General features: G+C 34.2%; 1 long non-coding RNA gene across 1 annotated transcript; it reads left to right on the forward strand.

Moving 5' to 3' along the window:
• The first annotated feature begins 7712 nt into the window (after positions 1-7712).
• Positions 7713-8345, forward strand: LOC124908050 (uncharacterized). The gene is made up of 2 exons (XR_007088650.1): positions 7713-7884; positions 8226-8345. It is a non-coding gene; the product is annotated as an uncharacterized LOC124908050 (long non-coding RNA).
• The last annotated feature ends 16067 nt before the right edge of the window (positions 8346-24412 follow it).

Genomic DNA, 24412 nt, shown 5'->3' on the forward strand with positions numbered 1-24412 from the left:
ACCTACAAACCAGTGCCACTCCTACAGATTTTTATCAATTAGTGTATTTTATGCATAAGGTTAAATTTATCAGTAATAAGATATTATGAAAGGGAAATTTATTCAATATTAAGAACTTTCCTTTATTCTATCTGCCTGTTTTGCAATTAAAAGTTCCTTTTAAAAATGGGGCATCAATACTATCTTATGGAATATGTATTCTTTAAAATATCCTTACACCTCAAAATTAAAAGTTGGAAAAAATAAGGTGGTAGCCAGAATGTTTTCTAAAATTTTACTAGTTCAAAAAAATTTTTTTAAGTATTGAGATCATTCGCATAAACTGAATAGCAAAAAATTCTGATTGGAGCTCCAGCCTCTTTGGTGGACTATAAGATTAATAAAATGTGGTTCAAAGACCATGAATGTCATAATAGGTGTTACTATTACCACCATTTTCTTAAAGAAAAAATAAAGGTTCTGGGAAGTAAAATTACTTTCCAAAAGTTTCATTTTTAGTTGAAAAATTGTATTTGTAACTTGAAAGCTTGTGTTTCTAATGCTTTTGACAAAAGCATTATCTTCTTACCCAGTGATTTTGGTGACAGCAGTATCATTGGAGTGGTGAGGGCAGAATCAATTTTGTCTAGCATTGGGGCATGCGATATAGAAGGGTATTTAGAATAGAATGAATTCCAAAAACCTTTCTGTGAAGTGAGATAGCCTTAGTTGCAGATACATGTATGACATGGGTCAAATAAGAGCATTTTTTTTTATTTTGATGCTCGACTTTTCTTTTTATTAATGGGAAAAAAGTAGAAGTCTGAAATCAGTTTCAATGGGAAAAAAATCAGTCTGGTGGGGACAGGGCCACTCTTTCTCCAAAAGCTGTAAAGGAGAATTCATTGCTTGCTACTTTCAGCTTCTGGTAGCTACCAGCATTTCTTGATGTGTGGCTACATCGCTTCAATCTCTACCTTAGTAGTTATATTGCCTTTTCTTCTTCTGTGTCAAATCTCCCTCTGTCTCCTTCTTATAAGGCACTCAAGGTTACATATAGGGCTCATCCAAATAATCCAGGAAAATTCTTCCATCTCAATATCTTTAATCACACCCACAATCTACCCTCTGATCCCCAAAGATTTACATCTATCCTCCATGCAAAATGTGCTCATCACATTCTGCCCAACCCTAAAATGACTCAACCATTTACATCAACTCCAAGTCCAAAATCTCGTCTAAATATCATCAGCTCAAAACTCTCAAATTTCATCATTTAAATCAGATATGGGGAGCCTCTAGGTATGAGACATCCTGGGGCAGAATTCTTTGACATTTTTAAAGTAAAACATTTGGCCCTGTGCCTTGCATGTAATAGGTGCCCACAAAATGTTAGCCACCATCAGAATTATCCCCTTCATCTTTTTCCCTCATTACATGCTGAGACCAGCTCGGTCGGGGAGACCCTAACCCAGCAGCTCTAGAGGAATTAAAGACACACACACAGAAATATAGAGGTGTAAAGTGGGAAATCGGGGGTCTCACAGCCTTCAGAGCTTAGAGCCCCAAACAGAGATTTACCCACATATTTATTAACAGCAAACCAGTCATTGGCATTGTTTCTATAGATATTAAATTAACTAAAAGTATCCCTTATGGGAAACGAAGGGATGGGCCGAATTAAAGGAATAGGTTGGGCTAGTTACCTGCAGCAGGAACATGTCCTTAAGGCATACATCGCTCATGCTATTGTTTGTGGCTTAAGAATGCCTTTAAGTGGTTTTCCACCCAGGGCTGGCCAGGTGTTCCTTGTCCTCCTTCCTGTAAAGCCACAACCTACCACCTTGGGCGTTAGGGCCATTATGAACATGTCACAGTGCTGCAGAGATTTTGTTTATGGCCAGTCTTGGGGCCAGTTAATGGCCAGATTTTGGGGGGCTTGCTCCCAACAATTACATGGCTTATTTTCTTTAGCTTACCATGGTTCTGCTGTAGCTATGTCTTTAAACATGGACGATTCAGATCCTCCTTGGAATAACATAAAAAGTTAATCATAAATGAAAAATAAAATGATTGACTGTTTAGAAAAAAGGATAATCAGAATGGAGACGATAAGGGAAGAATATCACTAAATAGGTTTCACATTCTCATAGCAGAGAAAAGACAAAGTGTAAGATGTGATGATGATGTTGATGATGATGATGGTCATGGTGGTACTAGGAGTAGCAGTAGCAGTAACCCTTACTGAGAATTTATCTTGTAATGGAAGCTTTTCTAAGTGTTTTACCTGTGTTACCTCATTTAATCTTCACCACACTCTTGTGAGGTGGACATTTTATTATCCTCATGTTTAGAGGAGGAAACTGGGATAGAGAATTTATGCAATTAGTAAGTGGCAAAGGCATGTTCTCCATGATAGCTAATTGAAACAAAGTGCATCAAGCACCTGTCTCATATAATCCTGAAATTCATGAAATGCAATTTCAGAGAATTTCTGTTCTTTAGAAAATAACCTGCAGAATAAGATATAGAAGAGAAAATAAAAATAGCTAAAGCAGTATGCTCTAAACAAAATCAACAACGTCAAAAAATGTTAATAAGTAGCATACAAACTTTAGTTACAGACATATTCCAGTTAATATATCAAATCTACCTCTTACCTGATGTATTAATTTGGTAAAATAATGTAAGAAGTGTGAAAAATGAAAGTATATAAGAACTAGATGAAAACCTGAGTGAATTCCTCTTCAAACTTTCTTTGTAGGGAAAGGCTTTCTAACTATGAATCTAATTATGAATCTAAGCCTCTTTTACTTTCTTCTGGAAAAAAAAAACACTTTACTTTTTATTTGGGAGATTACTTGTGACTTAGGTTGAACTCTCAATCAAAGTACCTTGCCTTCTCTGGCCAAAACATGGATTTGTGACCAAAGCTACTCCAGTCTGCCTTTCTCCCCTAGAATTTAAATCAGTTTTAACATTTGTGTTTTATATTATTAAAGCATGAAATAAGAAGGGAGCCAGATACATATAAATTATTCGAACTCCTTTCTCCCTGAAAAGGCAGAAATTTAAAGAATTATCCTCACATTGAGAGACTATATCTGAACTCATGGGGACAAAAGTAAATTGTAATGACATTTGCATTTTGTAATTAACATGGTTTGGAACTTGAAGATTTGGAATTTGAACAAAGTGGTGAATTATGAAACAGGAGTGGGCATGTATCAGAACATGAACAAATGATGAGTTCTGCATTGAGGATTTACATATTGAGGACAGGCCATTTGTACTGGCTTAACTATGTAAAATTGTACAGCATTAGCAAGAAAGAGCAGCTGTGGCATGACAGTGGCGATGCCAGGACAGATCTGGGCAGTGGATCTTATTCTTTCTGAACTCTTGGCATACTCTATAAAGAATGAAAAGTTGCATATGAGTTAAACAAAAATTAAAATATCTCAAAACTGAGAGCAGGAAGCTTTAAAATTTTACACTCTTCACTTCTTTGATTTTTATGATTATGTTATGGTTTCAGTGAAATAATTCACTATCCTGATCAAGTTCTATTGACAATTATGAAGCAAAGATTTTAAGACTTTGCTTCCAAACTTTGTAACATTTGTTTCAAAACTTTAAACAAACAGTACATTTTCATTATTGCGAATTATGCAATTGTATGCATAATTCATCATGTCTCACTAAAAAACAACATCTAACTTGCAGATAATCTAGAAAAAGAAAAATGATACTGGCCATCTACGAGAAAAACAAAGGACTAAAGATGGAATGAAATAAAAAGATTAGAATTTATGAAAAAACTATAAGGCATGAAAAATTGAAAGTTTGTAATATCAGTGGATAAATATTGCAGTTTCATTTCATAGGTAGAACAGGTGTTTGTGAGCACAAATGTTGAAAGGCAATCATATTTGTGTATACATAAAGTCATATGAAAATAAACATTGTTTATGAGGTCCAGAGAATTCTCATTTGAATAATAAAGTCTCTCAAATTTATGGCAATAGCTGGGATATATAGGGAACCTGTGAACTAAGTTTTGGGACTAACTAAAAGGTTGGGAAGTGACAGTGGTGAGACATACTATTCGAGTTCTGTGTTGTATCCATGTCCCTTTCAGCATCCCCAGATTGTCATGGAGCAAATAAAGTTGCAACTCCACTTGCTAGGATTAGAATAAAATGTGAAGACAGTGTAAGTCAGGCAACAGCTCTCAGAAGTAGCTATTCTGCCTGCAGTGCTTCTAAATAACACCAGACTGGTCTTTAAAGCCTGGTACAAAAGTGATCCTATTTACTCTTGTGGCATCTTTCAATGTGTAAATTGAAGACCAATAAATCTTTTCTTATGAAGACAGTTAAGGTTTCAGAAGGATAAACATGCCATTCAAAAGAAATATTAATTTTATTAATAATAAGTGGATCCTCAAATAGTAATAAACAAAAATAGGTTTTATATTGATATGCCCAGCAGGGATTATGCCTCTGTCTGATAAAATGTAGGTGCCCTTTTGCTCCTATGAAACACACCTCGTGGTATTTTATTTTAAAATAGGATTTTTTTTTCACTCTCATGGTACAGCCTGTTACTAGGGAAGGGGAAATGTAAGTTTAAACCACAGAAGAATTCAGGAGAGTTATCCTATGAATTTTGTTAGTTGAATAACCTCTTATGAAAGAAATGAACCCTACTCATGGATGCTGCCAGGGGATGATTGGTTGGAAGAATTGAGAGACATTTTGAAGGACCTAGAGGCTGACAAGTAACACGATATCACTCTGAAGTGAGTAGCTTAATTTCTCTACGGATTGAACTTCAGAAATGATGACTTTACAATAGAGTACTGCATCAGAAGAGAAAATCACAGTCTGTCAAGTAAAGGAAATTGGTATCTCTATGTTTCTCATTTCAAGAAGAGGCCTATTATTTTACCCCAGCATATAAAATTCCAATCAAAGTTCCATATACTCAGAATAATTCTGGGATTCTGGTCCCAGTTCTATGCAGTTAATAGGATGTACAATGTATTGTTTGAGAAGAAGCAATGTAAAGACACAAAATTACCAAATATTTTTCTTCTTTCTTTAACACCTAGGAATTTATATGGGTACAGCTTTATCCAATTAAATCATTACCACCATTAAAGAATAAAATTAAGTTAATGCTACATAGGATGCTGACGGCATTAAAAATGAGGGATTCTGTCTCTTCTGATAGAAAATTTTAGGTATTAAGTGACAGCAGCTCGGGGGACAAGAAGTCTAGAAACAGCAACAGAAAATATTCACCAAATCGTAATTTTTCCATAATGAGACCTAATCTTTCAAATAAAATTTTACCACTTATTAAGTTCCCAGCACATGTATTAGTTTTTGTGTTGTGCAGTTGTCATTCAAACTAATGGGTTGAAACAGTCATATGTGCAAATAAAATATGAGTTGTTTACCAACACAAAATAACTAAATAGTTCAGTAGCCTTTGCTTAAGTTGACTGGATAAGAGAGTCTGAGGCCAAAGATATAATGATATCATATTACAGATATTTGTATCCAAGGGAAGCAAAAGCGAAGGATAAAGGTTAAGTGACACAGAGAAATAGAAAAAGCAAATACAAGAAGGAGCATTAGTTCTCACTAAGCACAGCTGATGGCAGGACATTTTCAGAAACCTAAATACAACTACCATGTCTCAGGGAAATTTATTAAGGTAAGAAGAGAAGATAATCTCTCTGCCAGCTCTATTCCAGTTTCCATTCCCCATTGGTAAAAGCATGTCCACAGGTCATAATAGTTCGTATGTCAAAGATGTGTTACTTGGTGACTCACGTAAACATTTGGGGCGTGCCAGAGGCTCTGTGTATCCAGACTTGTTAATGTGCTGGTATAGCTGTCTCTACTTATCAGTCACCTTGTACATGTGAAATCATTATTCTGAAGTGTTGGCAACAGTTGCTGCAAAAGTATGGGTTGAACCATCTCTAGGGCCATTATGGAGCAAATCAGTATGCAAGTCTAAAGGCAAGAAAATAGGTAAATTGGAACATATTTGGGATAGTATATAACTTTGTTTAGTAAGGGCCATCTCTTGAACCATTCTTGTAAGTTGATCCACGTAGAAAAAAAAAGCTTCCCTCAAGAAAAGTAGGTATCCAGTTCTTCAAGGGTACCACTAGGTTATATGTCCTAGAAAAAGTTAAATAAAAAGGCTAAGCAAAATACAGTATCAATTTTTATATCACATCTATTTCTCCCCCATCTATGTAAGATTTCCCTCATAGTTGGCCATCACTTAGCTGAGTTGGGTTGCTTACTTGGAAGAATAACCCTTACTGAAACCACGGTGGTTTTTACACTTAGCTGCAGTGTTTTCATGTTCTTGTGGATATTATTGTTGAAACTGACTATTTTCATATAATGCTGGGTGTTGAAGCACCAAGAGAAAACCTGATGAAACTTCTGGGTTAAACATACCCCCACCACTACCCTCAAAAAAATCAGGGTGGATTATCAGTAGAGTAACTCTTTCCTTTGCTTGCTAGTCCCCCAATATGAGAGGCTGAAAATGACAACATGGTAAGCCCAGATTTTAGTACAGTGGATACTTGACTACAAGCCCTGCCAAGACCCTAGCTTCACCTAGCCCCAGGAAGCAGTTAACAATTACCTGAAAGATCTTAAGATTTGGAAATGAAAAGTTCAAATTTCAAAGTGCATAAAATAACTGGGAGTGATGATGGGAGCTGTTGATCCTACTTTTACTCCTTAGTTGCTGGGTCAGTGTATTTTATTGAGGACACTGTATATGAAATAAATAATTGATTCAGTGCATAAGTGGCTGGGAGACAGTGCCCAATCTCATGAGGTTTTGTCTATTTGATGCCTCAATTAAGCCTTCAGCACTCCATTCCAATATCAGTCCTGTTCAATCAAGTTGGCTGATTTTTGATGGTTGAGTATGTGGTATGTACAGTGGAATTCCTATTTATTAACTCATTGTCACCGTTCCTTTTCTATAAAAGACTGAGCAATATTATGTGGCATACCATGTCAATACATTAGTCATTCTGTTAGTCTTCAGTTAGTGGTGCTGGTGACAGTACACAAACATGAAGAGCCAATTCAAGTATTGATTCCAATATGGTGAGTTTCTGTCTCTGCCAAAGTGGAAAGTTGTTGAATGTGATTGAACAGCCAATGTTTGGATGGCCTAAATATCTGAAGAATAAAGCCATATTAAAGCTTTGGCATTGGTTTCTGTTGTTGGCAGGTTGGATATTCAGCACTGGTGGTAGCTAGCATATCTTTAGTGGACAGTCCCTGTTTTGGGACTTAAGAATGTATTTCATTTTTTTCCTAATGTTTATTCTGTCCTTAGGTACATGGTACAAGTACCAGAATAATCTAAGAAACAGTTAGATTGACAGTCACAAGATGAGTCATCCTATACATCCAGTTTTTGAGAGACTTGTTTGTAGTAGATACTATCTGTTGGCCATTAGTATGAGACAAAAAATGTCTGCAGTGTTTGTTCTAGATTGTATATATGCATCTGGGCACCTATTCCCCTGGTAACCTTGTTCTGAATCTTGTAAGCTTGTTCCTTCTAGGCCTCTGACCAAACAATGCAGCCATTCTCCACTGCCCGAGGTTCAGGGTATATCAATACCTTAGATATCCTCCCCCACCAAAAAAGTGGGTTTTATTTCATCACTGTGTCTTGTGCCACCCTTGAGATGAATTTTAATTCAGTAGAATATCTTTGCCAGCTAGTACCAACATACCGTATTGATAGCTCTAAATTAGGTTTCTACGCTTTCCTCCTTCATGAAGGAACTGCATATAAACTACAAGCAGGGGTTAAGGGAAACATGCCAGGTCAGCTGAGGTAGGTGACAGGGGAATCTGGACTTCTTCATCATGTAAATTATGTCTTCCTTTTGTACCTGCTCAAAGCCAATTTTGAATGATTAGTTACTATGATAAAATAAATTACAACTATGCCCACTCCATCCTATGACTTGGTAAATTTGATAACACATAACACCCTGAGTATATAGTCTTTTGCTATTTAAGGATCAGGTATTTTGTCTTTATTAAATCTAAACAGGGGAGTACCTAAAGTCAATGTAAATTGGTGTGTTCATTTAGTTGCTGAAAATAATTTTGATGAAGATTATTTTTGATATAAAGTTTTACTAGTACTCTATGGAACTTTCTGTATTCCAGATACAGAAACAGATGAGCAAAAGGCAAATAACAGAGGAGGTAAGAAGGAAGAGCAAGCATCTCTATGTCTACAACTCTGCTACGTTAGGAACTCACTAATAAATATTGCAATATTTACCATTTTGATGTGAGCAATGGAAGAGAGAAGGGGAGTTATATTTGATTATATTCAGTGCTATAATCTTATTAAAAGAGAAGATGTTCACAGCCATAATTTCCTTTTAGTGCTAAAGAAAAATCAATAATAAACCTAGTGTCTTTCATGCCAAAATGGATTAGTTTATATTATTGAAGATAATGTATTCTGTATTCAAGTTTGTACTTAAATACAGTGCAACTGAAAAGACTGAATTGTCTAGATGAAATAGTTGTAACTGAGACAAGTCACAAATAGAATTAATAAATACTTCTGCAGTAAATCTTTACTTATTTGGAAATTGAGGCTTGTTTTGGTACAAAAAAAAACAAGGTTTATGGTATACTTTTAGAGGCGGAAAAACATAAATAATATATGCATAATATTCTTATACTTATAAAATGTTTTTATATACACTATTTTAATTGAATTGCTTGTGAGTATTATAGTGAGTTAATTAAATGTTAACAATGTCTTGCCACATGGAAATACTGTTAGATCTAGCTTAATAAAAAAGAAAGAATACTGTAATCGTTTTTTATGGATACAGCTTGTATAAAATACATTTCTTAAGCACTTTCTCTCTCAATAAAATGAATCAGTGTCCTACAAAATTTGACTCATAATTTTAATTTGCATAAGATTTATTATTTAATACATACTATAAAAATATCAAATTACCATGATTTCACTAAAATAAAAAACCACCAAAATCAAAATCACAGAGTTTTTTATTTTAGTGTGTATGAGATAATATCAAGAAATATAAACTTTATGCCTTAATTATTCATGCCCAGTTATTCCTGGCTTCTTTTTCAAGTGTTTAATGTATATTATGAAGCAGATGCATGTGGAAAGACTTATGCCATAATTTATATAAGTGAATAGGCAAACCAGATTTTTTTAAAGAGCAGAGAACTAACAGTGAGAGACGAATGAGCCATAGAAACAACCATCTCCCTGGAGCTCATTTACAGAACACAAAATCATAGGTATATTCTCATTCATAAACTCATTGTATGAAAAGCCAAGGTCTCCCAGACCATTTCTGCCTCCTAAAATGTACTGACTACCTGAGGGCTTTTTCAGGTGATAGAATTTTCAGCGCTAAGAATAAGACAGTCTTAGGAAACCAGGATAATTTGTCACAATAAGTACTAGACACTTTTACTTGGGGACAACAAATGGGGACAGTTTATGGGGCTTGTGGGAACATCCTCATAATCTCAAATTCCCTTCATGATCCTTACAACATGATCACCCCCAAAAAATTCCAAAACCCTTGCCTTGTTGAAAAAAAAAAAACATAGAAAAACTTTCAGAAAAGAAAGAAACCATTCTCACTTAGATCATCCTCACTGAATTACCAATAAATCTCAAGTTTTAATTTCCATTCTCACCTATTGGTTATCTCCTATTGTCTAGCGTTATTTTTTTTTAATGTTGAAGAATGTTAAAAGTAAATTAAACACACACACACACACACACACACACACACACAAAGTAAATTAAACACATCATAACATCCACCACTACAAGCTTCATGATGTGTCCTAAACAATAAACTTTCCATATATGGCTAAATGTGATGTGCTCACACTTAACAAGAGTAATTCTACAGTATCACCCAATGGGCATCCCATACCCAAGTTTACCTAGTTTGAAATTGAAAATTGGATGTAAGAACCTGGGTGCCCATAGCACGCTAAACTCAATATTTCAAACACAAACACATTCTATCCACCTCCTTTCTACCAGAATGAGATCTGTTCTTTTTCTTCTGTTCCTCTGATCGTTAACGCCATGCTGAGGAAAGAGATTTTACTTGTTTATGTTTGCTTTTATATAACCACCATACATATTTGGCTGTTGGCAAGAATATATTTTGCAATTCTTAAAAAATTCAGAATTTCTTATTAATATTAACCCTATTGTTTTCTCTTAGAAGTATTTTTAATTGGCCAGGCCTGGTGGCTCACACCTGTAATCCTGTTACTTTGGGAGGCTGAGGCGGGCAGATCACCTGAGGTCCAGAGTTCGAGACCAGCCTGACCAACATGAAAAAACCCCATCTCTACTAAAAATACAAAATTAGCTGGGCATGATGGGGCAAGCCTGTAATCCCAGCTACTCAGGAGGCTGAGGCAGGAAGCTCGCTTGAACCTGGGAGGCAGAGGCTGCAGTGAGCCGACATCGTGCCATTGCACTCCGGCCTGGGCAACAAGAGTGAAACTCCATCTCAAAAAAAAAAAAAAAAGAAAAAGAAAAAGAAAAAATTAATAGAAATATTCTTAATCTTGGACTGCGTAATTTGGTCTCCATTTCTCTTAAGTTTTATACATTTTATGATTTAATTTTTTGTGTTAATTCAGTGCAAAGTTTTCAGCATTGTCTTTCTATTTACTAATACTGATCTACAAACTATCAAGTCTCTTATTCTATGGCTCTATGTATGAATTTCAATGTGCCTAACTTGTTATTTTTCTTACTTCTGTGTTCTCTTTCATTCATATATATATTGCATATATGTATCATCCATATATATATATGCATGATATATATATATCATACATAGGTAACTAATACCTTATTATTTGCATTTATAATTTATCTGTCTTCTATTCATGTTATTGCAATGGATGTTGATATTATACTTATGTATCTGAGGAAATAAAATCTATTTATATCATATTACTGATTTGCATTTTTGCTGAGAGTATACATATTGGTATACTCATTTTGGTAAATGTTGACTATCAATCTGAGTGATACTTTCAGTCATTTACTTTGAACCTGAAATTTTCATTCTCAGGTTCATCGTCAAAAGGATTAACAAACAGAATCTTTTGATGCTTGCCCATTCATATTTTGGATTTACAGTTGCCTTTCTGGGGCACCAACTGATATTGGGGCTAATTTAGTGCCAGCTTGGCCCGTGTTTCTTTCCTGGTTGTGCTTACTTCCTTCAGCCAACCATGGCAAGGAATTGTATGCAAACCTTAGGTAGCTGGCCTAAGATTTCTCAGCCCCCGCGAACCGGCAGGGAGTCCAGGCTTCTGGTTTCACAAGATGAGCTAGACTTTGATCTTCAATAGCGCCTAAGGTACTTTTGGGCCCCGTTATCCAAGAACCCTAACTCCAGACTCTCTCCTCACACATTCAGTCCTTGATCCCAGCAGGCACACAGCTTCAGCCCCTGCCTGCTACAGTGTGTTTCTATTCATATTCTAGCCCATGGACATCTTTTTCCTGCTTGTGGTTAAATTACTTCATTTTATTTTATTTTTATTTACTCTTACTTAGCACTTCCATTTTTGAAGGGAAGGGAATACGTAAATGCACAAACTATATTCTTATTGCGGCCAGAAGTCCCCCCGTTTCTTTTCAAGATTCCATCACAATTCCTTGTCTGCCTCAGCAAAATATATTCAACATGCTCTGCTGTTCCGTCACCGCTCTACCACTCCCCAACAGCTTGCACTCTGTCCAATTTCTAACATTTTATAGAAACTATCTCAAAAAAGTCACTGATGATCTCTGCTTCCCACATAATAGTATGAAGTTTTCCACCTTTAATCTCTGCAATGGTAGATATTTGCCAATGTCCTCTTGCTTTAAATTGCTTTTCCTAGTGTTATTTTCATATTTCATAAAAGTTGTGATACAAGCATAAGCATATGAATGCCAAATCAAAACAAACAGATGTAGGCTTTCTATGGTACTAATATAACCCTTTTTCTTACATAGAAGAGTCAAGTTTAATATCTTCGATTAAAACTTTTAAGTTAGTCAATGGATTTCTACTAATTGTGCAGAACAAAATTAGTAACATATTCCATAGAGTCGGGCAGAGTTTTGACATCATTGGCCTTACTTCCCTGTATGCATGGGAGTATAGAAGACAAATGGAAAAGCAAATACTTTCAAAACAAGCAATTCTCATTTGCAAGGTTATTTTAGACTTATTTGTATGGAAGAACATTGAGTGCCCGATACTTTTATTTTATTTTGTTTTATGCGAAGCATAGTTGGTGTAAATGAAATCATTGACTACATTTCTCAAGTCTCATTCTAGAGACAATATTAAAGTCTTAATGGCATAACATAATCATACACTGTTTTTCCTTGAAATGTTATTAAAATGCTTGTAGATTCTTATGCAGTTGTTAGAAATAATAGAAAGAGATTTATATACAATTCATCAGCTTCTCCAAGTATTAACATTTTTCAAAAGTATAGAATAACATCACAACCAGGATACTGGCATTAAAACATCAACTGATCTTATTCAAATATCCTATGTTACTTCTACTCATAAATATGTGTGTGTGTTTAGTTCTATATTATTTTATCCCTTGAGTAGGTTCTTATATCCACGACCATAGTCCAGGTACTCAAAAGTTCCATCAATCCAATTAGAAAATGATAGAAAAAGATGAAAAGCATAACAAAGATGAAAAGTAAACAGACAACAAATGAGTACATTAAAATATTTTCAGCATTGTTAGCCATAAAGGAAATGCAAGTTAAAATCACAATGAGAAGATGTCACTGCACACTTATCAGAATGGCTAAAATTAAAAATAGTGACAATACCAAGTGTTTGGAAAGGATGTCGAGAAATTGGAACTCTCATGCACTGTTAGTAGAAATATAAAATGGTAGAGCCACTCTAGAAAGAAATTAGAAAAATTCCTTTTTTTCTTTTTACTTTTTTTTTTTTTTGAGACAGAGTCTCAGTCTGTCACCCAGGCTGGAGTGCAGTGGCACAATCTTGGCTCACTACAACCTCTGCCTCCCGGGTTCAAACACTTTTCTCACCTCAGTCTCCCACGTAGCTGGGACTACAGGTGTGCACCATCATGCCCTGCTAATTTTTTTTTTTTTTTTTTTTTTTTTTTTTTAGTAGAAACAGGGTTTCACCATGTTGGCCAGTGTAGTCTAGAAATTCTGACCTCAAGTGATCTGCCCTCCTTGGCCTCCCAAAGTGCTGGGATTACAAGCGTGAGCTACCATGCCTGGCCAGAAATTTCTCATAAAATTAAATATGTCTTTATAAAATGACCCAGTAATTTTACTTTCTAGTTTTTATAGCAATGAAATAAAAACTTGTGTTTACCCAAAAGCATATGAACAAATGTTTATACTCTCTTTATTCATAATAGCCCCCCAATAAAAACAACCTAGATATTGTTCAACAGGTGAATGTTTAAACAAACTGTAATAACATAGACTACTACTTACCAATAAAAAGAATGAACTAATGATATACGTTACAACTTCGCTGGATCACAAGGGAAATATTCTGAGTGAAGAAGCTTCTCTCTTAAGATTGCATATTGTATGATTACATTTACATTGAAATGATAAAATTTTAGAAATGATTAACACATTAGTGATTGCCAGGTTTGAAACTGAGATGGGAGGGAGATAGGTATGTTTACAAAAGAACAACACAAAGGATTTTAGTGATGATACACTATTTTATATTATTGTGACACTCTTTGGGTAAGAAATTTAACAGTTTCTTGTAGATGCCATTTCACTGATCTTTATAATACTCTTAAGAATAAAAATACAATTTTCTGGAAGATAGTGATAAACATATATATATATACACACACACATTTATACACACAATACAATATTTATAGTGTTATGCCATTGCAAACACATATATACGTGTGTGTGAGTATATATGTATGTGTATCTGTGTATGTATGTATGTATGTATGTATCTATCTATCTATCTATCTATCTGCCTATCATCATCTATCTTTATCTATCTATCCATCAATCTAGAGGGAGAGACATTCCTTGTTTTAGTAGCAAACTTGAGTAAATAAATAAATGGGGAAAATAATAAACAGCAGACTACAAACTCTAGCTTATTCAACCAATTTCAACATAATAATTTGGTTGTTAGGAAAGATCTTATTTCAGAACGCTGAGATATTTGTCACAAAAATATAATGTGTCAAACTTCCAAAAGTCTTGCTACATTTATGCTAGTGATTTAATAAGTTTTCACAGGAGACAATCTTCAACATTTTCCAAGGATAACAATTCTCAGAAAGGCCACGAGATCTATTTAAGAAGACAAATGTTAATTATCTGCCACAAACTTTCATTCTGCTCTAGACTCACCTAATATTTACTGAGGGACTATATCATTTAGGCCTGTGGGGAGATTTAGAATGAAATTTCCATTGACTGTACACCTGAGGTTTGGTGATAGCAAAATTAAATACATGTTAAATAGACATATTATTTCTTAGAGCAAAGGAAGGAGTAATCAATTCTGACTTGTGAAACTGTGGTATTTAAACTGGATGTACACAAAAGACAATTATAATAATAATAAAATATGAAATATGAGGTAAGTCATACCTCTCCAAAGTTATACTCTTGTTCCCCATCTTTCATTCACATCCTTTATCTAGATGACCATCAAGTAGTACTTTGCATCTCCTTGGAACAAAGATGTCCCTGACATATCTGAAGTGTGGCACATACAAAGATGGAGATATAGTGAGAGGTCAGTCCAGGGAAAATAATTAGGACAAGATCCCAGATCATTGCAAAATAAGCTACAGATAGAATATTATTTCTTTTTATATTAGCCAGTGCAGAAAATATAGGTTTATTGGACATTTCAAAAAATTTATGGAAATTATTATTGCAATTTATCAGGTCTAGAAGATGAATCAGGTAATGTCGAAAATGTGAGATACTTGCTCTCTTTGTGTCATAGTTATTCTTTGCATAGTCATGTGTTTTAGGACTCATTACAAGACATGGTCATTAATTGTTCACCAGTAAGTTTGCTACATTCAACTTTGAGGATAGGTAGCGCATTTTGCTTATCTCTTCTGTACTTGTTACAGTTCCTGAAGAAATGAATGTTTACTGTAATTAGAAACAAATAAATCAGCTCAAATATGAGTAGTTTTATATATGTAATGGTATGTTCTTGGGTAATTTCAAATACTACAGGTTATTCTGGAGACTGATAGGCAAATATTAAGAACCTTTGAAATACACATCTACTTTCCTGCCAAAAATTTCATATGTAGGTATTTTACCTAGAAAATAGCAAAAGATAAACAAAAAAAAAGTATAAACACATGGTTACTCATCAAGTTTATAATTGAAAAAAGTGAACATATTAAAATATTCAACAGTGGGAAATGGTTAAAATGATAGTATATACACAAAATGCTATAAAGAGCTATAAATATCATAATACTAAAATTACAAAATCATATGGGCCATTTCTGGTATTCTGAGGAAAAATTATGGTCTAAAAATTATCAGAAACTATAGTTCTAATATTTAAAAATAACACACATGTAAAATGATAAAAGCTGTTATTTTCTCTGGCTGCTAGAATTAAAATTTTCATTTTTTCCTTTGTGCATCCTCTTTCAAAATACCAGTGACAAAGAAGTTTAAATAAATGCAAAATAGCCTCAGAGAAACATTACAATTTGTTAACATAATAGATTGTATTTCTCAGCCTGCCTTTACTGAGGGGTGTTCATGTGACTAATTTCTCAGCATAGGGACATTAGTGCAAGCATGGTGAACAAATTTCGTGGTTGAGTCCTAAGCCTACAAGTAAACGATCTTCCAACTTTCCTTTCCCTCCTTATTTGCTGGAGGATAGATGCATACATGGCTTACTTTCTTTTTTTTTTTTTTTGAGACGGGGTCTTTCTTTGTTGCCAAGGCGCTATCCGGGCTCACTGCAAACTCCGTCTCCCGGGTTCACGCCATTCTCCTGTCTCAGCCTCCGGAGTAGCTGGGACTACAGGCGCCCGCCACTATGCCCGGCTAATTTTTTGGTAATTTTAATAGAGACGGGGTTTTACCGCGTTAGCCAGGATGGTCTCGATCTGCTGACCTCGTGATCCGCCTGCCTCAACCTCCCAAAGTGCTTAGATTTCAGGCGTGAGCCACCGTGTCCGGCCCACGGCTTACTTTCAACAACAACAACCACAACAAAAAAAATATGGAAGGAATTTGTCCTTGCAAAGCTGCCATTGTGGAATCCTCAACTGAAACTCTTGTATGGATTGAAATAAACTTTGTGGAATCCATTGTATTTGGAGCTCTCTTTTTGCAATAACATAGACTCTTATGTATGTATTATAAGAATTGGTACCAAAATTAAGTGTTACTATAATTAATTTAAAATATGCGACATTCACTTAGGGATAGTAGGGTAGAGAAGGCACATTTGTTGCAGCTGAGTAACAGGTGACTCCTGTTATACTATAGCAAAATACATGGTAAAGATAGATGATTGAGTGAACGAATATTGTTCAGATATCTGTTGCCTTGCTGGTTTGAAAAAGCCAGCTTCTTTTAGATTCCTAATGCCAGAAAATAAATCTGCTCCTCACAAACTCTTTGAAGGTCCTTTGTGATTGTCAACAACAACAATAAAAAGGAAAGTTATTCTAAATAGTCAAAGACATTGATTGCCTTCTCACCCAAGCCTATTTGATTGATCTAGGTTGTTCTAAGGCAAGCACAATTAAAATTAGGAAAAGATGGATAGTTTGAAAATTGTAGGTAGGGTATAAAATTGGGTTTTAAAACCGTGCTTGCAAACACATAAAATTGTGTAGAAACAAACAGAACAAAAATCCACTAAGTTTTTTGAGGAGGATGTATTGATAAGTATTCCACAGGCCTGACTTTAAAGAGTGCATTCTTTGTTCTTATGTTCTTCCTTTCATGTTCTTTTATTTCTTTCATATTTTCTTACTCTTTTCTTCTTTTCCTCGTTTATTTTTGTTTTGGCTTTCTTAATTAGAGAATTGTGTAATTATATACAACAAAATTTTAGGTGTATAATTAGATTAAATTTGAGAAATATATACAGCCATGTAAATACAATAGCATGCCATGGTATATAACATTTGCCTCATCCCAAAATGTTATGTTTCTTTATCTTTACCACACTCTGGACCCTGGCAACCACTGATGTACATTCCATCACTATAATTTTGTCTTTCATAAAATTTTATACAATTAGCATCAAACTGTATGTAGTATTTTGTAACTGAATTTTTTTTTAACTTCACAGAATGTGTCCGAGATTCTCCAGGTTGTAACATACATCAATGATTCACTAATTTTATTGGTAAATATCATTACATCATGTCAATCTACCACACCTTGTTTATCTACTGAGCAGTTCATTAGCATTTAGTTATTATCTCTTCTTGGTAATGATAAATAAATCTGCAAGTCTTTTTGTAGCCATTAACTTTTATTTCTTTTGAGTAAATACCCAGAAGTGGAATTAGTGGAATTATTGGATCACAGGGTAAAGATATACCTTATATTCTAAGAAATCATCAAATTGTTTTCCAAGTTGGCTATGCTATTTTTATTCCCATCAGAAATATTTGAATGTCTCAATTACCTCATATATTTGCCAACATTTGGTATTGCTACATTTTTATTTAGTTTTAGCCATTCTTGTTCACATGTAGAGGTAATTCATTGTAGTGGTTTTAAAAATATATCCACAAATTTTTTGAAACTTCTCCATTAAAGAGGTGGAGATTTATTCTCTACCCTTTAAGTGTAGACTGTACTTAGTGATTTGCATCTAACAAATAGAATAAAGCAGTGGGAGAGACAGAGAGAGAGAGGGAGAGAGAGAGAGAGAAGAGAGAGAGAGAGAGAGAGAGAGAGAGAGAGAGAGAGAGTGTGTGAGTGTGTGTATGTTTTCTCCAAAACTAGGTCCTAGCCATTGGGACTTCCTCATTACACTCTGTCTTAGATTACTTAATCTTGGAGGAAGGAAGCTGCAATTTGTGAGTATCTATTTGGAGAGGCCTGAGTGGCAAACACTTGAAGTCTCACACCAACAACCAACCAAGAAACTAGGACTGCTAACAACTGCATGAGTGAGTGGGAAGCTCATGAAATGACTGTAACTGGCTGACAGTTTGATTGCAACCCAAAATGACCCAGGTAAATTGCTCTTAGATTCCTGACCCTCATAAACTGTGACATAATAAATGTTTATTTTTATGCTAAATTTTGGTGAAATATATTACTCGACAATAGTGAATATTTATGGTATTAATTTTCAGTTCTGTAATGACATAATATTGAGAATCACTTCATGTGTTTTTGATATAATATTTCTTTCTTGTTTTTTGTCACCCAGGCTGGAGTGCAACGGTGCAGTCTCTGCTCACTGCAAGCTCCGCCTCCGGGATTCAAGCAATTGTCCTGCCTCAGCACCCCCAAGTAACTGGGATTACAGATGCCTGCCACCACACCCAGCTAATTTTTGTATTTTTAGTAGAGACAGGGTTTCACCATGTTGGCCAGGCTGGTCTCGAATTCCTGACCTCATGATCCACCGGCCTCGGCCTCCCAAAGTGCTGGGATGACAGGCATGAGCCACTGCACCTGGCCCATATTTCTTTTGAGAAGTTTCTGTTTAAATCTTCGAACATCTTTTAATGGGTGGTCCAGTTTCATTCTGAATTTACAGGTTTACATTTTGAACTATATTCTCCAAGTGCATGCTTATCATTTTATTATTTTAATGATATTTCTTGAGGAACAAATGTTTTTTTTTAATTTTAAAGATGTATAAATTATCTTTTTTCATTTTACAGTTTGTTCTCTTTGTATCTTTTAGAAAAAAAAATAAGTCATGGATATTTTCTCCCATGCTTTGTAATAGAACTTTCATAGATTTTGCTATTGTATTTAGATCTTTTCTCCATTTTAAGTAAATTTTTGTATATAAGATAGTGGTCAAATATTATTTTGTTCTTTCTTTCATATAGATAGTCAATTTTTTTCATTATTTGTTGAAAATATATTCCTTTCCCTACAGAATTGTTTTGGTTCCTTTGTAGAATCATTTGATCAATTATGTATTTGTGAATTTGTGGGCCTGCTATGCTGTTCCATTGGTCCATATCTCATTCTCATATGAAAAATGTACTGTCTTGAATACTAGCTTTATAATCTCATGAGACCAGCTGGTATGCATCATCAAGCTTTGATTTTTAATTTTTTTTTTTTTGGCCTATTCTAGGTCATTGACATTTATATTTAATTTTAAACATTCGTTTACCAATATTTTGCCAAAACCAAAAATGTGTTATGGTATTTTAAGTGGAATTACAGTAGATTTCAATCAATTTTAGGAGAGAACTAATTTGAATTCCTGGTTAAATCAAACTTGGTCATAACATATTATACATTTTAAATGTTGTTGGATTTGATGATACAATATTTAGAAATATTTTTATGTTTATAGTTACCTTTTCTATGTCTGAAAATGTCAAAAAATAGGTAAATGAAAATAGGCATGCTGGACTTAATACCTAGGTGATGGGTTGATAGGTGCAGTAAACCATCATGGCACTCCTTTACATATTTAATGAAACTGCACATCCTGCACAGGTACCCTGGAACTTAAAACAAAAAGAAAAAGAAAAGAGAAAATAGACATTTTTATACAGACATTTTTTACTAGCTATAGCATTCTGGATTGTCAGGTTTTTTGTTTTTGGTTTCTGTTTTTTTTTTTTTTTTTTGGCTTGTTTGTTTACTTTGCTGTTTGCTTTTGTCTTTAATTACAGTATTTTAAAGAAACAACCAACATTCTTTTGTTTTGCTTTGTTTCTGATAAGATGTCTAATAGCATTGTCCTTTTCCCTCTGGGTTTTATTTATTTTTGACTGCTTTTATGACTTTTTTTCCTTATTGGTGATTCCAGCAATTTGATTGTAATAGCCCTAGATGTGTGTGCTATTTTTTTCTGCTTTGTGTTTATTGAGTTTTCTAGATATATAACATTATACTTTCATCAAATTTAGAAATATTCTAGCTATTATTTTTTCAAAAATCTTTGGTTTTTTCTCCCTTATTTTCTAAGTAAGGACTAAATTTACACTTGTATTAGGTTGCCTGATATTGTTATATAGCTCATTAGTGCTCTATTTATTTTTTTTTCTCAATCCGTTCTTATTACATTCACTTTTGGATAGTTTCTATTTCTGTGTTCAAGTTTACCAGTATTTTCTTCTGCAGTTTCTAGAATTAATCTTTTCCAGAATAATATGGAAATTTTATTTCTGATATTATGTTTTTTACAACTGTAAGTTAATTTTATGTCTTTTTTATACCTCCAATTTTCTTCTCTTTTTTATTATACTTTTCTTTTTGTGATGGGAAATAGCTCATCTTGTGACTAAATGTGTTCATGAACAATTACAAAAAGAAAAGCCCTCAACCAAGTTAAATATTAAGTGCAAAGATATTTGTAGAAAAAAGTATTTGTAAACTAATAACAGAACACTTCATCTCACTAACTATTGAGGGAATAACATTTAAATAATTGGTACAATTTTTTTTCCAAACTGTTTAAGAAAAAAGAAATTTTGAAGTTTGATAAAACTCAGTGTTTGTGGGCATATGGGTGGAAAACACTCCTGCCATATTTGTGAAAATAAAAATTGACATGTCTTTGGAATAAATTTTATAGTGTTTGCCATGTGAATTGGCAATTTTACTCTCAACAAATACATTCCATGATTATAATAACATGTGTGCAAAGATATGGGCAAAAATTCTCATTGCATATTATTATTATTATTTGAGACGGAGTCTCGCTCTCTCACCCAGGCTGGAGTGCAGTGGCACAATCTCAGCTCACTGCAACCTCCGCCTCCCGGGTTCAAGCAATTCTTCTGTCTCAGCCTCCCGAGTAGCTGGAACTACAGGCATGCGCCATTATGCTGGAGTAATATTTGTATTTTTAGCAGAGACAAGGTTTCATCACGTTGGCCAGGCTGGTCTCGAACTCCTGAACTCGTGATCCGCCCATCTCAGCCTCCCAAAGCGCTGGGATCACAGGTGTGGAGCCACTGTGCCCAGCCTGAACATTATTTTTAAATACAAATGATTAGTGTTTCCAAATACTGACTACATGTACATATACTTTCCTCCAAGTGGTTGGAAAATAGCATATATGAGAGAGAGAGGAGACAGAGAGAGAGCGAGAGAGAGAGGAGAGAAAGAGAGAGAGAAATTTGATGAGATACCCTTGTGGTCTGGATCCAGAGTTTTAGGTAGGAAGAAGGTACACTTACAGATTTCATCATGCATCCCTTAGCAATACTGAAATTTTCCTACAAGACTTTGTGGGTTTCATATTTTTAAGACATATAGCTAGTATGTAGGAGTTTTTGGTTGTTGTTGTTCCGTTTTTAAATGCAGCACAGTTTTACATTTCCCTTTTTCTCCATCTGACATTTCAGAACATTCTGGCTGTTTTCCTTTTGTTTCCTTTCCTGTCCTGAGATTTATCTCTTTTTTCTCGCCACAAATTTCACCCTATCTTTAAAATTTAGGCTTCATTCTTCAAGGAGGATATTGGACATGAACTTGTCTGAGGGGTAGTGTTTCTCAATAGACTTGATGGCTAAGACTGATCCTTGACTTGTGCATGGATGGGAAAGGCTCTTGGATGGGACATGGAATTGGCCAGATCACATAGGATAATATAATATTTGGGTAAAATTTATCTGATAAATATTTACTATATCAGTAGGAAAATTCAGTAAAACATTCATCCTATACTGTTAGTCTATATGCAGGTCATTAGTCGAGTCCAATACCGTATACAAAAAATTCTGTATGTCTCTTGTACTCTACAATTCTTCTCTCCAGTTTCCTTCTGATAAATGAATTAATGTTTATATTTCAGTGGACAAAACTGGGTTTAATTGATAGTTCAAGATGTTGGAAGAGTCACTATTCAGATTCAGGGTAATAAAACAATAATAATAAATATCATCTTAGTACAAGTGCCAGCATATTTTGGGGTTTTATGATTATTAAAATATTATTAGGATGGATAGGTCATTGTCTTGCCTGAGGATAAGAGCAGCATTTCTAGAACTCACGTACAGCTGTAGTAGTGGTTAATTATGACATCACTCTAAAACAATGAAACTAAATAAAGTCATTTTCTCACACTGAGCAATTTAGCTTTTATCTTTACCCATGTTATATTTTGGTGTCTGTTTCTCATATGTTTAAGCCTAAACCATAGATATTGATTGATTCTACCAAAATCTGAAGTGTTATTTTTAATCCTTATACCATAGAAATTTTAGAAAGATAGAGGTATTTTATGTATGGATTAGTATGCTATAATCTTTACACATTACAAAAATTCTTTTAGTTATTTTTTAAGGTATGGCAAAACTTCATGGTGTGTGTGTGTGTGCGTGTGTGTGTGTGTATTTGCCCTTTAAAGTAATTTATTATACACTTTTCTAGATACTGAGGCTAAAGAGGTGAAGAAGCTAGATAAATGTTCTATCTTCATGGAATTGATACACCAATGTAGGGAGACAGATAATATAAACATGCCTACCTAAACAAGCAAACAAACAGGGCTACTTCACATAGTCATGATTGCGATAAAAGGGAAGAATGAAAACAAAGTAAGGACTCAAGGGATGCACAGCTGAAAAATTACGTCTTCTTGTAAAGAGGGGGAAGATGGGAGTAGTTGATTGAGCTAGGTTCTAAATGACGAGAAGGAAGTAGACAAGTGGAGGTTGAGGGTACAATGTATTTCATACGCCTAGCGCACAGGTGTTTATTGAGCCAACTGAAATTTTGAGCTAGACTGAATGATATAACCAAATAATCAGGTAATATGATATAAACAACATTAATTAACAACTCAATGTCAGAGCTAAAACAAACAATGGGGGAAAAAAGAACACTTTTAAGAAGACACATCCCAAAACAGGCAAGGTATTTTCTTTTTTTCTGGCAGTGTTTTTTTCTCTAGGTGTGCTGTGAATATAAAGGATCTGCATATATTGACTGACTTAAGTAAGTCTGTAAGGTGTAGGCATTTATATTTTATTTGTTTGTGGTACAAATAATATATGTAGTGCCTAAGACAGATATTCAAAGAAAAGTGCCTACTTTTTTCTGACATGGAAATTCACATAGACTTCAGAATCAAGAAGAGTTTGTTTAGAATCTTGACTTTGCTTCTCATTGCCTCATGACCTTTACCAATAGTTTAACCTAATTCCCCACTTTCTTATTTATTAAATGGGACTATTGACACATTACTCTAGATCTGTTGGATGAAATGCATAAGACAAGGTATATAAAACACTTATATAAAATAATTATTGTTTTTGCAGAAGATAATAGAATGTATAATTTGAAAGAGAAATCAATATTCGCTGCTGCTTCTGTAACAAATTGCTTTCCAAAAAAGAAAGAAGAAACAGCTTAAATTATTATCTACTGTCAGTGTCAATTTTAAGGCCATCAGATCAAATATACCTTGAGGTCAATAAAAAATGTTTTAAATCATAATAAAATGCTTTGTAACTGTGATATTTTATAATTAATATATATAATTATATGTGTATATTATAGATTGTTCAAATTAATTCTTTTTATCATAGGTACATTTCTTATGTTTGTAATTAATCCTTTACTGTTACAATTTTTTATCCTCTACTGTTATATATATTCTACTCTAAAATTGTTATGCAATATTTAAATACGTAAGAAACTGATAAGATCTTTAGAAAGAACTCACAGAAAGAATTTTCTTCTACTTCCTTGAGCTGTTGTCTTTTTTCTCTTCTTGGTAGTATCAGGTGAGTGCCTGCAGGAACCAGGCAAATATCAATATTGGCAATCTAGCTGAGCTATCACATTTTTTGTTTTTAATACTAAGGATAAAAGTTCAAGATGTTTAAGTGCCATAAAAATTCTGTACAAAATTAATATAGGTAAAAATATAATCATTTACTAGTCTTATGAATTACCTACCAGTAGACAAGTTAGCTACTGTAATGCTCAAATATAAGCCTCTACATCTATAATGAGAGTACTAGTGCATGTTTACTTCTTTGCGTGTTTACTAAAAGGGTTAATAATAATATGTATTTTAAAACAACGATTACAATATTGTTACTCACCTGTTGTTATACATCAGATTTTTTGAGAC

Source organism: Homo sapiens, chromosome 2, assembly GCF_000001405.40.
Source record: "Homo sapiens chromosome 2, GRCh38.p14 Primary Assembly".
In the NCBI taxonomy this organism is placed as follows: Eukaryota; Metazoa; Chordata; class Mammalia; order Primates; family Hominidae; genus Homo; species Homo sapiens.